Genomic DNA, 20,000 nt, shown 5'->3' on the forward strand with positions numbered 1-20,000 from the left:
GATCGCACCACTGCACTCCAGCCTGGGCAACAGAACAAGAATCCGTCTCAAAAAAAATAGCTTTCTGTTTTTTCAGACTATATAAATAACACATGCTCATTGTGAGGTAATAACATGTAATATCTAAGGATCACCTGAAATCCCACCATCCTATGACAGCCACTGGTAGCTTTGTCATGTATCAACTTGGCTAGACTGAACTACATTTCCCAGAACTCTCTTCCCTATGTCTCAGGTTAGGATGAGCCACAAATTCCTATGCCAGATCTGCAGGGCCCAATGCAGCAGCAGCCCTTGAGTAGCTGGCACACCTTGCTGGTGTGAACCACACCTGTGCCTGGGCCTGCAACCGCTCCACCTTCCCCTGGATGGATCTTCCTTCAGCTCCTCTGTGAAGGGTCTCAGTTTCAGCAGAATGCCCACACCATCAAGGTCAGAAGCAACAAGAACGGACAGATTTTAGCATCCTCACGGGCTCCAGCCCATGCCTGTGGGTTGCAGCTTGTTCTCCCCAACTCCACATCTTTTCTGACTACCCGCCCTATGGGCTTCAAGCTCCAGCATTGGACAGGAAGAGAACAGCCTTACAGAGACTACTTCACTACTTCTTCTTTATATGTTAACCATACTGGAAATTAGGAACGTTTTAACAAAACTTGTGAACATATTTGCATCTTTGAATAAGAAGAAAAATAAAATGTCTAAGGAAGTACCCTATAAATAACACTAGTCCTTAATCTTTAAAATTAGGTCCACATCTTTAATTTTAAAGTCCACATCTTTAAAATGTGGAAAGTTAGGGTTCCAAAAGAAAGAATCTGTTAGTTTTGAACTGGGCTTGTCTACTGTTTAAAGATTGCCTCTCAAAATTCCACTGAATGTGGGTTTCTTCCCCACAGAACACCCCCTCACACACACACACACAAAAAAAAAAAAACAAAAAAAAAAACAAAGCTTGGGTTACCTCTCCCAGACCAGTATTTTTTATTTTTTATTTTTTATTTTTTTTGAGACGGAGTCTCTGTCACCCAGGCTGGAGTGCAGTGGCATGATCTCAACTCACTGCAACCTCTGCCTCCCAGGTTCAAGCAATTCTGGGATTACAGGTGCCTAACACCACACTGGCTAATTTTTGTATTTTTAGTAGAGATGGGATTTCACCATGTTGGCCAGGCTGGTCTCAAACTCCTGACCTCAAGTGACCCACCCGCCTTGACCTCCCAAAGTTCTGGCAGTATTTCTTGAATAAGAAGTTTTGGGGTGCATTACTGCTTCAACACCATGACATACTTAACCACTACTAAACAATGAGGAAGCACAAACCCTGTTGAAAAGGGTCGAGGAGATCTAGTGAAGTGATGCCAGAGGAGGGCTCTCCAGCCTGCATGGAAATGGGTGTCCTGATGATTCCCTCTCTGATGCAAAATCAGTCCACAAAGACAATTTAAAAACGACTTGGGAACTGTCCATGTGACATCACTTTTAGGAAAAGCAGATTCTGTACTGTACAGATTACAAGATGACTTCAGAGCTAGAGCATAGAGTGTGGGCAGGGGCCAGATGGAAAAGAGGCAAAATGCGAAACACCAGGCTGTAATGGGTGTCTTACTGTACTTGAGTTTCCAAATGAAATTGGAGGTAATTTAGTTCTATAATGACAGGACTGTGCATTGGCAGATCTGTAACTGCTAATTATAAAATTTGAAACATTAATAACAATGTTGAAAATCTTTCTTGTAAAACACTTCTAGGGTTGCATAATAGTTTTAAAGTTCCTAGTTCTTTGATTTCTGAAGCTGCTGACAGGCGTATTAAGGACAGACAATCCCAAGCAGAGCGGCAGATGCTATTCTATGCTCAAGGCACTGGCTCAGCACTGGGGCGAGGGTGACGCTGGTTAAGATGCAGACACCATTCTTGCTTAACAGGGGATTAAGATTTAAGTAAAGAATTTAATAAGGGTTAAGGAGTAGACATGGGAGAGGAAAGGTCACCTAAGGAGAGAGCATTTGAGCGGGGCTTTGAGGTACTGGATAGGCAGTCATGGTGGGAAATAATACAAATTATACTCTTAAAAATCCTCAGAACCTGAATTATGGTACTGAAAGCTTTCTCTCAGATATCAAAATCCTCAAAGTCAGCTTTTAAATGACAGCTCAGTGCTCACTTAAAGCTTCAATGTAATTCAGCAGTGAAATACAGCTTTGCTGTAGCTTCTAGAAGTACTCAGATTCTATCAGGATAGAAACATATGGCAACAAAATAGAGAAGTTACTGATAAACTCATCTCTCCTTGTCCAGTTTTTCCTCACTCCTAAGCTGAACAGGATGAGTTCTAAGTTGGGGGAAAAAAGGTAGTTGCATGTTTTATGAATGTTTTCACTTCGGCCAGTCTTTACTTGCTTGGGAAGTTTGGAGTAGAAGAGGCCGTGACTACTTGTTTCCAACACCTCCTTCACACCAGGGCTTACCCAGCTGTGGGACCCTGTACAGGACACTCTGTCTTAGAGCTCAGAGCCTCATCTGTGAAACAGACACCAACATCAACAGGATCAAATTACTGTGAAAATAACCTATGAATCAGAACAACTTAATATGTCTTGCTGCAGGTCAATGCCTTCTAGCCTGGCCATGAGTATTTTTAGGTCTAAGAAGGAAGTTTTTTAGCTAAAGAACAACAGAGTGACCTTTGATGAGATTATGTTATTAGACTCCCTAAAAATGAATGGCATTATATAATTTAAAACTAGCACCAACTAGAGATTTTAATCTCAAATGGTATAAATTAGACTATGGTTAAAACAAAGACTCAACAGTAGGACTCAAGTTTCCTCTTGAGTCACTAGACAGGTCACACAGGTCACTAACTCTGTGACCTGAAAAGGAGGTTATTTATGCCTCAGTTTCCTCCTCTGTGAGGCACATTTATTTATTTATTTATTTATTTTTGTTTTGGAGATGGAGTCTCCCTCTGTCACCCAGGCTAGAGTGCAGTGGCATGATCTCGGCTCACAGCAACCTCTGTGTGAGGCAGATTTACGATGATACTTTACTACTTTGGAGATTGAAAATAATACAGTGTATGTGGATTATCTCTTGAGTTTATAGGTTGAAAATGAAAAACAAAAGTATTAGCATATTCTCATAATTAGGACTCCATAAGGCTTAAATTTCAGATATAGGAGGGGCCATCGTAAAGTGGCCACATCAAAATCAATAAAATTAATGTTTACTAACCTCAGGGAAATGCTCCACTTCCCCTAAACAGCTATTAAGATATTAAAACTAACTGAAGTTTCACTCATTAAACCAGTCCTGAAATCTACGTTAGGGCGAAATTTTTCCTAGGGAAGAGACTGCTAGCTATTGGCACAAATACCAGCGTTCCTACAGGCACACAGCTAGATTCCATCTCCCGGCCTCCCCTGCAGATGTGGTCATGTGACTCAATGGAATTCTGAATGGAAATGATAGTGTGCTACTTTCAGACCACACTTTTAAAAGAAGAAGACATGTTTCCCTCTTACTCTCTTCTACCGGCTCAGCTATATGGTCATGCTCTGCTAACAACAGCAGTACAGTCTGAGAAATGCATTGTTAGGCTACTTTGTCATCATGTGAACATTGTACAGTGTGCACTTATACACACCTAGATGGTATAGCCTACTCCACACCTAGGCTATACAGTATAGCCTGTTGTTCCCAGCCTACAAATCTGTACAGCATGGTACTATACTGAATACTGTAGGAAACTGTAACATAATGCTAAGTATTTGTGTAATTATACATATCTAAACACAAAGGTACAGTAAAAATACAGTATTATAATCTTATGGTGACCTAAACTTCATTATCTGGTACATGGCTGTAAATAACCACAAGGCCCTAGGACAGCCCTTGTCAAATAGTGTTCCAAGTGAGATAATAAAGCCCCACTGCCCTAAGACCTCCCTCCACTGTATGTACTGAATGTGAAACTAGTCACCCAAACCTTTTTCCTTAGGCTTAGTCCTTTAGTGAACTCAGGTAGAAAAGTTTGTCCTAGGGGATGACAGAGCCACATGATTAAAGGAACCTGGGTCCCTGCATAACTATGGAGAAATCCTTACATAATAAATGAAAAATGAGTCATTATGATTTTGAGGTCTATTTGTTACAGCAGCTAACATTAGCCCAACAAAGTAATCACTCTAAATTGACTCTTCCTTAATGTAAATTTGTTGTTTGCACCCATCTTTCAGTGATTAAAAAGCACACAAATCCAAATATCCACATTTTTTTTTTTTTTTGAGACAGAGTTTTGCTCTTGTCACCCAGGCTGGAGTGCAGTGGTGCAATCTTGCTCACTGCAACCTCCACCTCCTGGGTTCAAGCAATTCTCCTGCCTCAGCCTCCTGCATAGCTGGGATTGTAGGTGTCCACCACCAAACCTGGCTAATTTTTTGTATTTTTAGTAGAGACCAGGTTTCATCATGTTGGCCAGGCTGGTCTCAAACTCCTGACCTCAGGGGATCCACCCGCCTTGGCCTCCCAAAGTGCTAGGATTATAGGTGTGAGCCACTGAGCTCAGCCCAAATATTTTTTTTTTTTTTTTTTTTAGACGGGAGTCTTGCTGTCGCCCAGACTGGAGTGCAGTGGTGCAATCTAGGCTCATTGCAACCTCTGCCACCCGGGTTCAAGCAATTCTCCTGCCTCAGCCTCCCAAGTAGCTTGGACTACAGATGAGTGCCACCATGCCCAGCTAATTTTTTGTGTTTTTAGTAGAGACGGGGTTTCACCGTGTTAGCCAGGATGGTCTCGATCTCCTGACCTTATGATCCGCCCGCCCTGGCCTCCCAAAGTGCTAGATTACAGGCATAAGCCCTGTGCCCAGCCCACATTTTTGTTTTTCTCTACTACAAAATACAAATGGGCAATTCTGATTTGGTGGTGATTTTATAATCAATCAACACAAAGTTTAACATCTTTACATTTTAATGAAAAAGTAGATAATCTATTTGAAAAGTACAAACTCAATTGCAATTTCAAGAAAAAAATATGTATTTATATACCATAAATAAGCAAAATTGGACTCTGAAGCCCTAATACTTCAAAAGCATTCATCCTATTCCATAAAAACCTAGTATTATTCAGCAACAGTACTACTACTGATTTAAAAATAGAAAGCAAGTCTATCTTCACATGTAGTTCTTTGTCTTTAATTTGTACAACTCACCAAGGTTATTTTCATTCTTAGCACCCGGGGTTCACCAGGGTGTGATCCAAAGCAAACCAGCATAGGTTTTTAACAGAAAATCTTTGCCAGGAACTTCATGACCTGTATTTTCCTCACCTAGGAAGAAGCTGTCCCCACTCGCATGATTTTGAACAGTGTGTTGATGTTATTGCTTCGAATTGCATCCCGACAAGCAGTGATCACCTGGTTCTTTGGTTTTCCAACTGCATAAGAAGAAACATCAGGAACCAAAAGATTGTTAGACATGAAATTATAAAATTAGACGTCAGTTTTAAAACAACATAAAACCAGGAGGGAAAAGAGTTATACTTGAAATATGATTTATCTTACCATTCCCTAAAAAAAATAACTTGGTGAGGGAATTATTGAAAAAACTGACTTAGAGACTGTCTCAAACCTAGAAACCAACAGTCAGTTTTACAGAAAAGGATCAAAGCTCATAGTCACCTAGCAAAGATTATTTCTAAAGAAGTCAAAGCATCGACCCAAAACAGCAGAATTCAGGTATAAATCTCTGGCTATATTTCTGCTTCCTTGGGTTTATCCTATTGTTCTTTTCTAAATTTTTAAGTTAGACACTTAGCATTAATTTTCAGTCTCTTTTTTGCTAATTGGGCCTTGATGGTTTTATTTATATATATATGTTTATATATTTCCTTTGGGTTATATATAGTAGGTTTTTCTTTAGAGGATGCAGGAAGGTCTAAGAAAAGGAGCTGAAGGTTTTCTCTCCCTTTGAAGTCCGGAGACAAAAGCCAAACACTAGGCCGACTGACTGAAACATAAGTGACTGGTGCCAGCTCTGGAGTGTGAAAGGTATGCTACTTTCAGCCCCAATATGAATTATTGGATGCTACCACCATCTTCAATGAGTTCCACCAAAAACATTACAGATCAAAGTGCAGTGTTATGAAAAGAGACTTACCCCGCAGACGACCTGCTCTTTGAATTGCTTGATTTACTGCTTTGAGGTTTCCCAACAGCTCTGTGTGATTGTTACAGCGAATTTTATATCCATTTAGCAAGTCTCTATTAAGGTCATAGAGTTCCATATAACGACTCTTCATTGTTTTCCTGTGCAAATCAGTAGAAATTTGACATCATTTCATGTTGATATGGCAAGCTTAAGAAAAACTTGCAAATTTCTTAGACATACAAAGAAAAGACACCATTTTTAAGCTATATTTTCATTAAAATCGAGTAACTGCTAGTTTGCTTTGAAAATACGGATAAGTTCCATAAAAATATTCTTTTCCTTCCAAATAAACAGAAGACAAGTGGCCTTCCTTGGTTACTGGTCAATGGTTGATTTAGGTGGTTAAGAATTCTCAAGCCCACTGTGCTGGGAGTAGGGACAAGTGAGCAAGGTGACAGCCCACCTTCCAAGTTTCAGATGAATATTCATTAGACTAAAGTGGCCTGGTTGACAACTCAGCCTTGTATTTTATCAAAGGTTTAAAACAAAGTCATAAAATTAAAACAGAAATGAGATCTATACTACACAACAATGAAAATAACTAAAGAAAAATATAGCTGAAGATACCAAATGCTAGCAAAGATGTGGGACAACTGGAACTTTCATGCATTGTGGACAGAAATACAAAAAGCTGCAACTACTTTGACAGGTGATTTGGCAGTTTCTTATAAAGTTAAACACACAATGTATGACCCAGCAATCCCATTGTAAGGTATTTACCCAAGAGAAATGAAAACCTATGTCTATAAAAAACTTGTATGCAAGTATTTATAGCAGCTTTATTCTACTCACCAAAGTCTGGAAACAACCCAATTATCCTCAGTTGGTGAATAGATAAATATCATATATCCATACAATGGAATACTATTCAGCAATAAAAAAGGAACTACAAATACATGCAGCAACATGGATGAATCTCTAAGACATTATGTAAGTGAATGAAGCCAGACTCAAAAGGATATATAGATATAGATACAGTATGATTCCATTTATATGGTATTTTGAAAAGGTTGAAACTACAGGAAAAGAAATAAGATGAGTGGTTTCCAGGAACTGGAGGTTAGAAGAGGTATTGATACAAACAGTCACAAGAGTGACAGAAATATTCTTTTTTTTTTTTTTTTTTTTTTTTGAGATGGAGTTTTGCTCTTGTTGCCCAGTAAGCTAGATGGAGTGCAATGGCACGATCTCGGATCACTGCAACCTCCACCTCCCAGGTTCAAGTGATTCTCCTGCCTCAGCCTCCTGAATAGGTGGGATTACAGGTACCCGCCACCACACCTGGCTAATTTTTTGTAGTTTTAGTAGAGACTGGGTTTCACCATGTTGGCCAGGCTGGTCTCGAACTCCTGGCTTCAAGTGATCCACCCACCTTGGCCTCCCAAAATGCTGGGATTACAAGTGTGAGCCACCCGGCCAGTGATAGAAATATCCTATATCTCGATTGTAGTAGTAGCAACATGATTACATAAGTTTCTCAAAATTGATTAAACTGTAAACCTTAAAAGCATAAATTTTCTGCATGTATGAGTTATATATCAATTAATTTGATTTAAAAAAAAAAACAAATGTTGACATTTTGCAATCAAATGCCTAAAGCCAGCAACCATTTTTGACTTAAGAGAGAGATAGAGAGATAGAGAAACTAGGGACCCTACAGATAGTTGGCCAAAAAGAGCAAATATCTATCTCAATTTACAGATGATACAAGAATACATCTGGAAAAACTATAAGATAGTTAGTAAAGGGCACATTATAAAATCAACAGATAAAAATCAGTGTTCATATGTACAAACACAAAACCATAATTATAGAATAAGATAATGTAAAAAATATTTACAATTATAAAATATTTCGTAATTGTCTAAAAATACAGAAAATACCTAAGCATAAACTTAAAATTGGTAACATCCAGTATCTACAAGAGTAAACCATGAAAGCACTCCAGAAAGACACAAAACATGGCTTAAGCAAATATAAAGACATAGCATGTTCTTAGCTAGCAAGACCAAACATCACTGCAGCAGCATCAGTTCTCCCTAAGTTAATGCATTTAACATCATCTCAATTAAAATACCTATTTTTGTTACGGAGCTACAAAAATTGCTGATGAAATTCATTGGAAAGAACAAACAAGCACAAGTAGCTAGGAAAAACCATGAAAAAGAAAAGCAACAGGGGTTGGGGACGGGGCACTACCCACACCAGATATTGAAACATACAAAACATCCATACATGAAAGAATGGCACCATCACTGGTAGTTGCCAGAGCTAAAGGGAAGGGAGAATGGGTAGTTACTGTTTAACGGGTACAGAGTTTCAGGTTTAAGAGATAAAGAATTATAGAGATGCTGCTGGTGGTGATGGTTACACATTATGAACGTATTTAATGCCACTGAACCGTACACTAAAAGTAGTATACAGTAGTTAAGATGGTAAATTTCACATTGTGTAGTTCACCATGAGTGGGGAAAAAAACAAACTGTTCCTCCTCTGCTCCCACACCACAACAATCAACACAGAAGACTTCTGTCCTCAACTGTGTGGAGGTTTTTCCCACACACCAAGAAAACAATCAGTTCTATAGCAGACACCAGCTGGGTGTCCTCCAATTCCGTTCCGACACGATTCCCCCGGAGACACTGTCAGATCTCACAGATTAAGGGCTCAGTCCCACAAGACTGCCTGACTTCAGATACATATCACAAGTTCAGGCTGCCAGAATTTCTGACTGATCTGCTTCAAGTTAGGGTTCCCATGACCCCCTCTGTGGGTTTGATTAATTTACTAGAGCAGTACATAGAACCCAGGGAAACTTAATGGCATTTGCTAGTTTATTATAAAGGATATTACAAAGGATACAGATGAAGAGATGCATAGAACGAAGTATTAGGGAAGGCGCTTGGAGCTTCCATGCCCTCCCTAGGTGCATCAACCTTCAGGAAACTCTGTGTGTTCAGATGTCTAGAAAATCTCTGAATGCTGTCCCTTTGGGTTTTGATGGAATCTTCATTATTTGGGCATGACTGACTAAACCACTGGCCATAGGTGATCAACTTAACTCTCAGCCCCTCTCCACTCCCTGGAGGTTGGGAGAGGGGTGGGCAGAAAGTCCCAATCCTCTAATCCTGCCTTGGTCGTTCTGGTGACTGACCCCTATCCTGAAGCTACCTAGGAGCTGCCAGCCATAAACCAATCAATAGCATACAAAAAGACATCACTTTGGAGAGCCTAAGATTTTAGGAGTTATTATGTCAGGAAACAGGGTTGAAGATCAAATATGTATTTCAGAATATCACAATGAAATTTATATTTTCTTTTTTAGAGATGGGGTCTTGCTATATTGCCCAGGCTGGTCTTGAGCTCCTGGCCTCAAGCCATCCTCATGCCTCAACCTCCCAAAGCACTGGGATTATAGACATAAGCTACTGCACCCAGCCAAACATTAAAAAAAAAAAATGGCCGAGGCAAGAGGATGGCTTAACCTCAGGAGTTTGAGACTAGCCTGGGCAATATAGTGAGACCCTGTCTCTACCAAAAATAAAAAAAAATTAGCTGGGTGTGGTGGCACATGCCTGTAGTCCCACCTACTCAGGAGGCTGAGGTAGGAGGATCCCTTGTACCTGGGAGGCCGAGGTTGCAGTGAGCTGTGATCACACCACTGTGCTCCAGCCTGGGCAACAGAATAAGATTCTGTCTCAAAATAATTTTTTTTAAAAAAGAATGATATTGTCAAATGAAGTGACAAGTCAGACCAATGGAATAGTACAGAAAATCCAGAAATAGATTCAACTGTGTACAGAAATATGATATATGATAAGGGCAGTATCTGAAATCATTGTAAGCATGATGAACTTTAAAAGAAGTAGTATCAGGCTGGGCACAGTGGCTCACACCTGTAATCCCAGCACTTTGGGAGGCCGAGGTTGGTGGATCACCTGAGGTCAGGAGTTTGAGACCAGCCTGGCCAACATAGTGAAACTCCATCTCTACTAAAAATACAAAAAAAATTAGCTGGGCATGGTGGCGCATGCCTGTAATCCCAGCTACTCGGGAGGCTGAAGCAGGAGAATGGCTTGAACCAGGAAGGCAGAGGTTGCAGTGAGCCAAGATAGCGCCATTGCACTCCAGCTTGGGCAACAAGAGCGAAACTCCATCTCAAAGAAAAAAAAAAAGTAGTAGTATTAAAATAATGCAATGTGGCCAGGCACAGTGGCTCACGCCTGAAATCCCAGCATTTTGACAGGCCACGGCAGGCAGATCGCTTGAGCCCAGGAGTTCAAGACCAGTCTGGGCAACAGAGCGAGACCCTGGGTCTACACAAAAATTAGCTGGCTATGGTAGCACACGCCTGTAGTCCCAGCTACTCCAGCAGCTGAGGTGGGAGGATAACTTGAGCCCAGGAGATCGAGGCTGCTGTGAGCTGTGATCTCTCTGCACTCCAGCCTGGGTGACACAGTGAGACCCTATCTCACACACACACACACGCACACACACACACACACACACAAAAATAATAATAATATAATAATAATGTGATAGTCATAAGGAAAATGATAAAACTGAGTTTATTATTTATATGAACACCAGGATAAACTCCAACTGGAACAGAGACTTAATGTAAAAAAGCAAAATATACAAGTACTAAAGGAAAACAGATGAATTACTCTATACCCTGCTGTTAAAGAAAACTTTTCTAACAGTAATTCAAAATGTAAAAGTATTAAGAAAATGTGGCTGGGCACAGTGGCTCACACCCGTAATCCCAGCACTTTGGGAGGCCAAGGCGGGCAGATCACCTGAGGTCAGGAGTTTGAGACCAGCCTGGCCAACATGGTGAAACCTCGTCTCTACTAAAAATACAAAAATCAGCCAGGTGTGGTAGCGCTACTTGGGAGGCTGAGGCAGGAGAATCACTTGAATCTGGGAGGCAGAGGTTGCAGTGAGCCGAGATCACGCCACTGCACTCCAGGCTGGGCAACAGAGTGAGACTCTGTCTCAAAAATAAATAAATAAAGTATTAAGAAAATGACTTACATTTTCTTAATGTAGTCAAATTTTCTTATAATTTGACTATATACAAAATTTTAAAAGCTCTTACAAGGTAAAACCAACAGTAAAGCAAAATTTTTTTTTTTTGAGATGGAGTCTCACTCTGTCACCCAGGCTGGAGGGCAGTGGTGCGATCTCAGCTCACTGCAACCTCCGCCTCCCGGGTTCACACCATTCTCCCGCCTCAGCCTCCCGAATAGCTGGGACTACAGGCGCCCGCCACCACGACCGGCTGATTTTTTGTATTTTTAGTAGAGACAGGGTTTCACCATGTTAGTCAGGACGGTCTCGATCTCCTGGCCTCATGATCCACCTGCCTCAGCCTCCCAAAGTGCTGGGATTACAGGCGTGAGCCACCGCGCCTGGCCCATTAAAGCAAAATTTTTTAAAAATCTAAGCAAAGGGAAAACCCAAATGACAAACTCCGGAAAACATATTTGCAACTCATATCACACGTAAGAGATTAATATACCCACTATGGTTTGGATGTGGTTCGTCCCCGCCAAAACTCATGTTGAAGTTGAAATGCCAGCACAGCAGTGTTGGGAGGTGGGCCTAGTAGGGAGTGTTTGGGTCATGGGGGCAGATCCCTCATGAATAGATTAATGCCATTAATGCCATCTCTCAGGAGTGAGTTCTCGCTCATGCAGGAATGAAGTTATCAAAAGAGCAGGTTGTTATAAAGTTAGGGCACCCCTCAGGCTTTGCCTCTTCACACATGTCCCCTTCTCCTTTGACCTTTTCTGCCATGTTTTGACTTCACACATGGCCCTCAACAGAAGTCAAGCGGATGCCAGTGCCATGTTTCTTGTAATTCCCAGCCTACAGACCCATAAGCTAAATCAACTTCTTTCCTTTATAAATTACCCATTCTCGGGTATTCTGTTATAGAGGCACAAAATGGACTACAACAGTACCTGATATGTAAACAGACAAATAGTTCACACAAAAAAGAAATGGAAATGGCCCTGAATTAAAACAATGAAAAATGCCCAATACTGAACATAATAAATGGCTCCTACAACTCAACAGCAAAAAAAAAAAAAAAAAAAAACACTAGTAATCCAATTAAAAAATGAGCTAGGGACTTGAATAGAAATTTCTCCAAACAAGAAAAGCAAATGACCGACAGGTATATAAAAAGACGCCCAATGCCACTAGTCATCAGGGAAATGCAAATCAAAACCACAATGAAGTATCATTTCACCTTTGTCAGGATGAAAATTATCAAAAAAAAGACAACAAGTGTTGGCAAGGATGTAGAGAAACTGGAACCCTTGTACACTGTTGATTACAATGAAAAATGGTGCAGCCACTATGGAAAACATTTAAATATTAAAAATTTAAATTTTTAATGATTAAATATTAAAAATTTAAATTTTTAATTTTTAATGATTAAATATTAAAAATGTAATCAAAAAATTAAAAATAGAACTACCATATATGATCTAGCAATCTCACTTCCGGGTATTTATCCAAATGAACTGAAGACAAGACCCTGAAGACCTATTAGCACTCCCACGTTCATCACCACACTATTTACAATAACCAACATGTGGAAAAAACATAAATGTTCATCAACAGGTGAATGGATAAAGAAAATTTAGTACATATAAACAATGGAACACTATTCAGTCTTAAAAGAGAGGGAAATTCTGCAATATGTGACAACATGGACGAACTCTGAGGATGTTACACTGAGTGAAATAAGCCAGTCATAGAAGGACAAATATTATATATTTGCATGGAGTATCTAAAATAGTCAAATTCATAAAATCAAAGAGTAGAATGATAGTTGAAAGAGGGGAAGAAGAAATGGGAATTTGCTTACCAATAGTTTCAGTTAAGCAAGAAGAATCAGCTCTAAAGATGTGCTGTACAACACTGCACCTATAGTCAACGATAATGTATTATACACTTAAAAATGTGTTAAGAAGGTAGATCTGATGCTGTGGTCTTACCACAATAAAATAAAATTTAAAAAATAAAAATTAAAACTAAGAGACCATTTCTCATCCCCTGGAGTATGCCCACAAACTCCACTGGCAAGGCTGAAGAGAAACAGGCAATCTCATACATTGCTTATGGGAATACAAAATGAGGTAACACCTATGGAGAATTTGACAAGACCTTGCAAAATTCTGTATGCATGTATCATTTACTGCAGTAATCCCATTTGTTAAGCCTTTTTCTCAAACTATCCTGGCAAAAATATAAAAAGATTTACGTAACAAAACTATTCACTTAAGCATTATCTACAGTAAAAAAAAAACAATCCAAATAGAGGAAACTGGCTGAAAAACAGCCAGAAAATGGAGTACTATGTAGCCGTAAAGACAAATGAGATGTATTTCTCTACACCATGGTGGAGAAATCTCCAAGATATATTTTAAATGTAAAAAGCAAGGTGGAGGCTGGACACAGTGGCTCACATCTGTAATCCCAGCACTTTGGGAAGCCAAGGTGGGAGGATCAGTAGATCCCATGAGTTCAAGACCAGCCCAGGCAATGTGGTGAGACCCTGTCTCTACAAAAAAATAAAAAATTAGCCGGGCTGGTGGCTCATGCCTTTAGTCCCATCTACTCAGGAGGCTGAGGTGAGATGATCCCTTGAGCCCGGGTGGTTGAAGCTGCAGTGAGCTGTGATTGCATCACTACATTCCAGCCTGGGTGACAGCAAGACCTTGTCTCAAAAAAAAAAAAAAAAAAAAAAAAAACCAAGGTGGAGAAAAAGATATATACATACTATGACTTAATCTAAGACATGAAGAGGGGTGTGTGTGTATATATCTGTGTGTATCTGCATATATATACTTAAATGTTCAACTGGTTATTTATAGTAAAAGGGAGAGAACAGAATGAAGGTCACAGGAATGGAAAGTTAGACTTTTCCGTGCATGCCTGTCTTATAGATCTAACTTTGGAATTACAAAAAGGTTTTAGTAAATATGTAATAGAATTAAACCAAAAAGGTAAAAATGCCAATCCTCCAAAACTGAGAGCAAAATAAGACAATGAACCTAACTCTCTATCAAATCTGTGGCATAACCAAAAGAGAAATAATCTCAAATGATTTTAAGATACAGTAATTTGACGGAAACTCCCTGCTGGGATATGCCCTAAAGACACAAAGAATTAACACACAAAAAATCTTAAACTGTTTTCAGCAATCATATTGTTGATAACAACTTGGCTAATATTCTTAAATGTTGTGTCTGTGCTGTAAAATGAAGCAAATAGTTATGTTGATACTGATTGGAGCCATGATATTCCCCCACTTTTTTTTAAGAGATCTTGCTCTGTCATCCCAGGCTGGATTGCAGTGTCATGATCATAGCTCACTGCAGCCTCAAACTCCTAGGTTCCAGAGATCTTCTTACCTCTGCCTCCTGAGTAACTAGGACTACAGGCATGCACCACTATGCCCAGCTAATTTTTTTTTTTTTTTTTTTTTTTGCAGAGACTGGGTCTCACTATGTTGCCCAAGCTGGTCTCGAATCCCTGGGCTCATGTGATCCTCCCACCTCAGCATCGCAAAGTGCTGGGATTACAAGTGTAAACTACCGTGCCCAACCTGAAGCCATGATTTTCAATGTGAGAGAGAAGAGGCGCAGTAATAAAATCGAAGAGCCTATATTCATAAATCTGAATGGTAAATAGTATGAACTCATATTTTCTCATTGAAAAAAAAAATTCCTAGCTCTACGCATTGAAAAGGCCTAAAAACAATAATCAACCCAGTAGCAATGAACATCTTTAGTGGTCAGACCATGATCTCTAAATACCATTTCTCATGTAAAAGAACCAGGACTCGAGAGAAATGGCTGGTTCCATATGAAGACTGGGAAATGTACCAGATAAGCCTGAAACATTTCATCATACAAGAAAACAAAGAACCAACCAAATTAATGGGACCATGTCCAAAGGTAACTGTATCCAACCTAAAGAGACTTCCATTGCCCACAGACTGGAAAATCTAGCCGTAAAAGGCCGGGCGCAGTAGCTCACACCTGTAATCCCAGCACTTTGGGAGGCTGAGGCGGGCAGATCACGAGCTCAGGAGATCGAGACCATCCTGGCTAACACGGTGAAACCCTGTCTCTACTGAAAATACAAAAAATTAGCCGGGCTTGGTGGCGGGCGCCTGTAGTCCCAGCTACTCGGGAGGCTGAGGCAGGAGAATGGCATGAACCCGGGAGGCGGAGGTTGCAGTGAGCCGAGATTGCACCACTGCACTCCAGCCTGGGCGACAGAGCGAGACTCCGTCTCGAAAAAAAAAAAAAAAACTAGCCATAAAAATTAATAATAACAGATATAAATTGAAACACATTAAATATGTTCAAATACATGAGTATGTAAGGACTTAAAAATCTCATTGGTCACCTAGTGCATGCTGGAGATCAACACATTATTTTAAAGCTGATAAAGAAACTGTCTTTCCTGTACAAACTGTACCTCAGGGAACCAAATAATTCATTAATTCATGAGGGAACATTATTTTTCATAGAAGTATTTCAACTAATATATGAAGAAAAGAATAACAGAATTAGAATATCACTATTTTGCAAACCCCAAAAGAAATAATGAATCTAGGCAATGATCATCAATGGCTGATAATATCATAAAAAGAAACAATCAAAAATTGCATGCTTCCTCATGGAAGTAAACAACACTACTCACGAAGTATTCTTGCCAAAATTTGAAATTGAATCTAATCAAGCCTCCAGATCTACCATTATCTTTCTATACAGGGGACAGAAGAATAATACTAAACATTACCACAAGGATACCACCAGCAAAATCCAAAATGGCACCCCACAGGAGAAGGAGAGAAGAGACTGAGTGGGCAAGCAAAAGTGTGGATTAAAAGATTAAACGATTTCCAACCAAATCCAATGTATGGACTTTGATCTGGATTTTGATTTGAGCAAGCCAACTTAAAACACACATGTCCACATTTATAAGACAACTGGGAACATCTAAACAGATGAGGTATTTGTAATATTAAGCAATTATTGTAAATTTTTCTAAGTGTGATATGGCATTGTGATTTTTATACAGACGTGTGTATATATGTGTGTGTGTGTGTGTGTGTGTGTATATATATGTATATATATATATATGATATTGAAAGGCCCTTTGTCTGAAATAGTTGTGGCTAGAATTACACAATGTCCAAAATTTGCCTCAAAATTATCTAGTGCCTGGGAGGGAAAGAGGGTGAGTGTAGAGATGAAAAAAGATCAGTCTTTAGTTGATAACTGTTGAAGTTGGGTGGGTGGTATATATGAAATCATTATATTTAAGTACTTCTGTATGTGTTTGAAATTTTCAACAATACAATTATTTTAAAAACCATTTACCTCTGAGCAAAACCATTATAATTATTTGCCAATAATTCAGGCGTCTCAGGAAAAAACACAAGCAGCACTCTGAGTGAACTCTTGCCCCTAATATATACACATAAATTTCATCTATAATTTGTTAACTATTTTACTGAATTTTTTTCAGTACATTTTATTGGCAAGGTAAATTTGGCATCCTAGCAAGCACCAAGGAAGACCTGTACTGTACATACTTAACTTTTTTATTGTAAAATGTTACATATTCAGAAAAATTCAGAATATTTAATGAAGTTAAACAAGACTTCAGACAGGAAGTTTCCCAATGTGTTTTTTCTGAACATAATCCCTCCTTCTCTAGGAGAAAATACTATCTTATATGATAATCTCTTCCCTGAATTTATATTTTTATTTATTGCATGTTTCCCAAACTATAGTTTACTCTTTTCTCTAACTATACACACGGATACATTTTATAGTCTTTTAAGTCTGTCTTCTTTCAGTGTCCATTATGCTTATCAGATTTTTCCTTGCTCTTATGTGTCATGGAGATTCATGTGCTCTCACTGCTGTGTAGTATTCCATTGCATGAATATATCACAATTCATCCACTGTCGCTACACTGTTCATGCTAATTTGGATTGTTTCCATTTTGAGATTTTTATAAACAATGCCTTTACAAATATTCTTATATAAATATCCTGGTTTATAAGCATACATATAACTAAGCTGTAACTTTCCCTAAGCTATAAACCAGGAATAGAATTGCTGGGTCATAGAGGACATGCATTTTCAACTTTACTGATAATGCCAAGTTATTTTCCAAAGTCACTGTAACAATTTATACTTCTATTGGTAACATCTGAGAGTTGCTATTCCATACTGCTCACATTTTTAACCCTGCACCTGTACTAACCATGACAAATACTCACATGTCCCTCATCAGACGAGCATCCTCAGCTCCGACCAGCAAACTTCGGATCAAATTAGAATGATCAGCCATATCAGCACTGAGCTTCTGATGCACTGAATGATATTCATCCACCTGGAGACCATGAACACTCAGGAATGAAAAAGGCCTCACAAACTTCTTGAACCCAGACAAATGAAAAGACACTATTTACCAGATACAGAGACCCCCTTCTTTCCCCTGTTCGCTTATACCAATTAAGCTACTTCCCGTTATTTCATCTCTGTCTCAACAAGTTAACTCATCTGTGCTGCCTCCAATTTCAACACGACACTCCATGTGAATCTTCCCCATGCTTTAGCACCAGGAGCCCCCACAACACACATATTAATATTTTAGGGATTTGCAGTGGGAATATTGTATACTTTGGGGCCAATCAGAATCATCTTTATTTTGCTCTTTTATCTTGAATTTGGGTTTTTGGAAAGACCCAAACTGAAGAAGACCAAAGCAGATACTACAAATAAGATGAAGAGCTAACAAAGGAAAATGTTAATATTTAAATGCATCACTTTAAACCAAACAAAGCAAGCATGGTGCTCAGGAGCTAAACACTTCCTTTTATAAAATAAATCCTTAAGTAGTAAACTCTCCAATACTAGTTCAATTTTTACTTCAAGAATTGCAAAAATTCTTGAAAACATCACTATAACATAAGTACATTTGTAGTACCATTAATCTCCTCAAATATTATTAGACTACCACATTCTCACAAATGCATCTACCGCATTCCCTCACCTTAACTAGCACCTTTCGTAATTCCTCAAAATAGACAGGAAAATCCGCTTCTACTTGAAGGTCTTCAATAGCAAAAAATGATGCCATTGACTGGATGATATCACCAGCCAAATCAATATCATCAGTATTTATAGTGATCTACCCAGAGAAAAAATAGACAAGTTTAGCATCCTCAGATGTTAGACAAACTTAGCTAAAATAGTACCTGAATTTCCCCATACTCAACAAAATTATTGTGCATATATATATATATGCAGTGTTGAAAAAGGAAAGTTTAGCTCTCAAAGAAATTACAAACTGCATTATTTCCAGCAGCTAGCTAAAAGGTAAATCCTCTGGCCTTAGAAATTAAATGACAAAATCATCCAAACATTGAAAATGTTTTTGTTGACCTCTGTATTCCCAATTCTTTCCAAATTAGACAAGGAAGAGATGAAGGGAAGGAGGCAGAAAACAGCTATTCCAAATTATACCCCAGTGTCTAAAATGGTAACACTAACAGACTAAGTTAAACCATGTGAAAAAAATAAAACAAAACGTGGTTTTATGACCTTGACATTGATGTCCCCCACCTCACTTTGGACTGAATGGTAAACACCACATGAGAAATCTATGCCCCTCTCATTCCATGGTCTAAGTGTTTGAATAAATAAATTCAAAAAAGAAATCTATGCCCCGTGATATTAAACATTACCTCTCCACTAAGTTTTATTTTTATATGCAGGTGGCCGCCATTCCGTAAAGATGTGAAACACACTTGAAATGGAGCATTCTGAATGTGAGTGTCTTCTGGTAACAGAAAGTTCTGACCGAGCCATACAACAACCTTGAAAATGAACACAATGAAATGACCTCCATTTTTAAGGTACAGACGTTCTTTTTTTTAATGTGCCTCTAGATATGAAGGTACAGCCATTCTTGAGGGAAGAGTTCTCCTTCTTTCTAGTTTTACTGCTTTGTTGAGAAAAAAAAAAAAGAATTATACTTCATCCCACACCAAGAAAATACTAAAACACTAGTCACATTCCCTTTTCTCACCTCACCTATGCTCTTAAGTAACATTCATAATTATGCCTGGCCCCACAGCAGACATGATTTCATAGCATCTTCTACTTAGACATAGTCTTATATGCAATGTACAAATGATTCAGGTATGATGCTGATTCTGTTACACAACAGCTCTTCTGTGGGTATAACCTGGACAATGTAGCGTGCTTAAAACCATTCCATTCTATTCTTTAAGAAATGTAAAATGAAGTATACATGGGCAAACACCACAGATATATCCACACAATAAGGAAAATATAAGTTTTAATGTTAATAGCAGTAACACCATGCAGTGGCTTGCAACACAGGTTCCACATGAGAACCACCCATGAGGCCTTCTGGAAGGGCCCACCTATAGAGTCTGTGGTTCCACAGGCCAGGCAGGGGCCTGAGAATCTACATGATTAAAAAGTCCCACCAAGAATTCCAAAGCCCAGCCAAGGTTAAAGTCCACTGGTATTAGTCCTTTCAAATGTACAAGGTGCTACTGTTACACCAATCATGTAATCCTCGGGCCCCCGCAATAAGGTGGGTAAGATTATCCTTACTTATTAGATAAGAAAACTGAGGCTCACACTGGTGAGGGGACTTCCCCAAGATCACTAAGAATTTAATGAGTTAACGTAGCACTTAAAGCCA

The 20,000-nt window shown here is 39.0% G+C and overlaps 1 protein-coding gene across 7 annotated transcripts in view; it reads right to left on the minus strand.

Annotated features, from left to right (window-relative positions):
• The window catches only part of BBS2 (Bardet-Biedl syndrome 2), a 49,622-nt gene that overhangs the window by 9,026 nt on the left and 20,596 nt on the right, over positions 1–20,000 (minus strand). For 2 of the 7 annotated variants that reach the window (NR_165297.1, NM_001377456.1), the window contains 5 exons: positions 19,009–19,140; positions 18,315–18,452; positions 17,539–17,651; positions 6,162–6,310; positions 5,333–5,439 (listed from right to left, as the gene is read on the minus strand). Coding sequence is in view for 2 of the 7 variants with exons in the window: in NM_001377456.1 (NP_001364385.1) it covers positions 5,333–5,439; positions 6,162–6,310; positions 17,539–17,651; positions 18,315–18,452; positions 19,009–19,140 (639 nt within the window). In the remaining 5 variants the exon portion in view is untranslated. Of the gene's footprint in view, positions 1–4,956; positions 5,440–6,161; positions 6,311–17,538; positions 17,652–18,314; positions 18,453–19,008; positions 19,269–20,000 lie in introns of those variants that run through there. The other 5 variants (NR_165296.1, NM_031885.5, NR_165295.1 and 2 more) reach the window with 3 other exon arrangements.

This window comes from Homo sapiens, chromosome 16 (assembly GCF_000001405.40).
Source record: "Homo sapiens chromosome 16, GRCh38.p14 Primary Assembly".
NCBI lineage: Eukaryota > Metazoa > Chordata > Mammalia > Primates > Hominidae > Homo > Homo sapiens.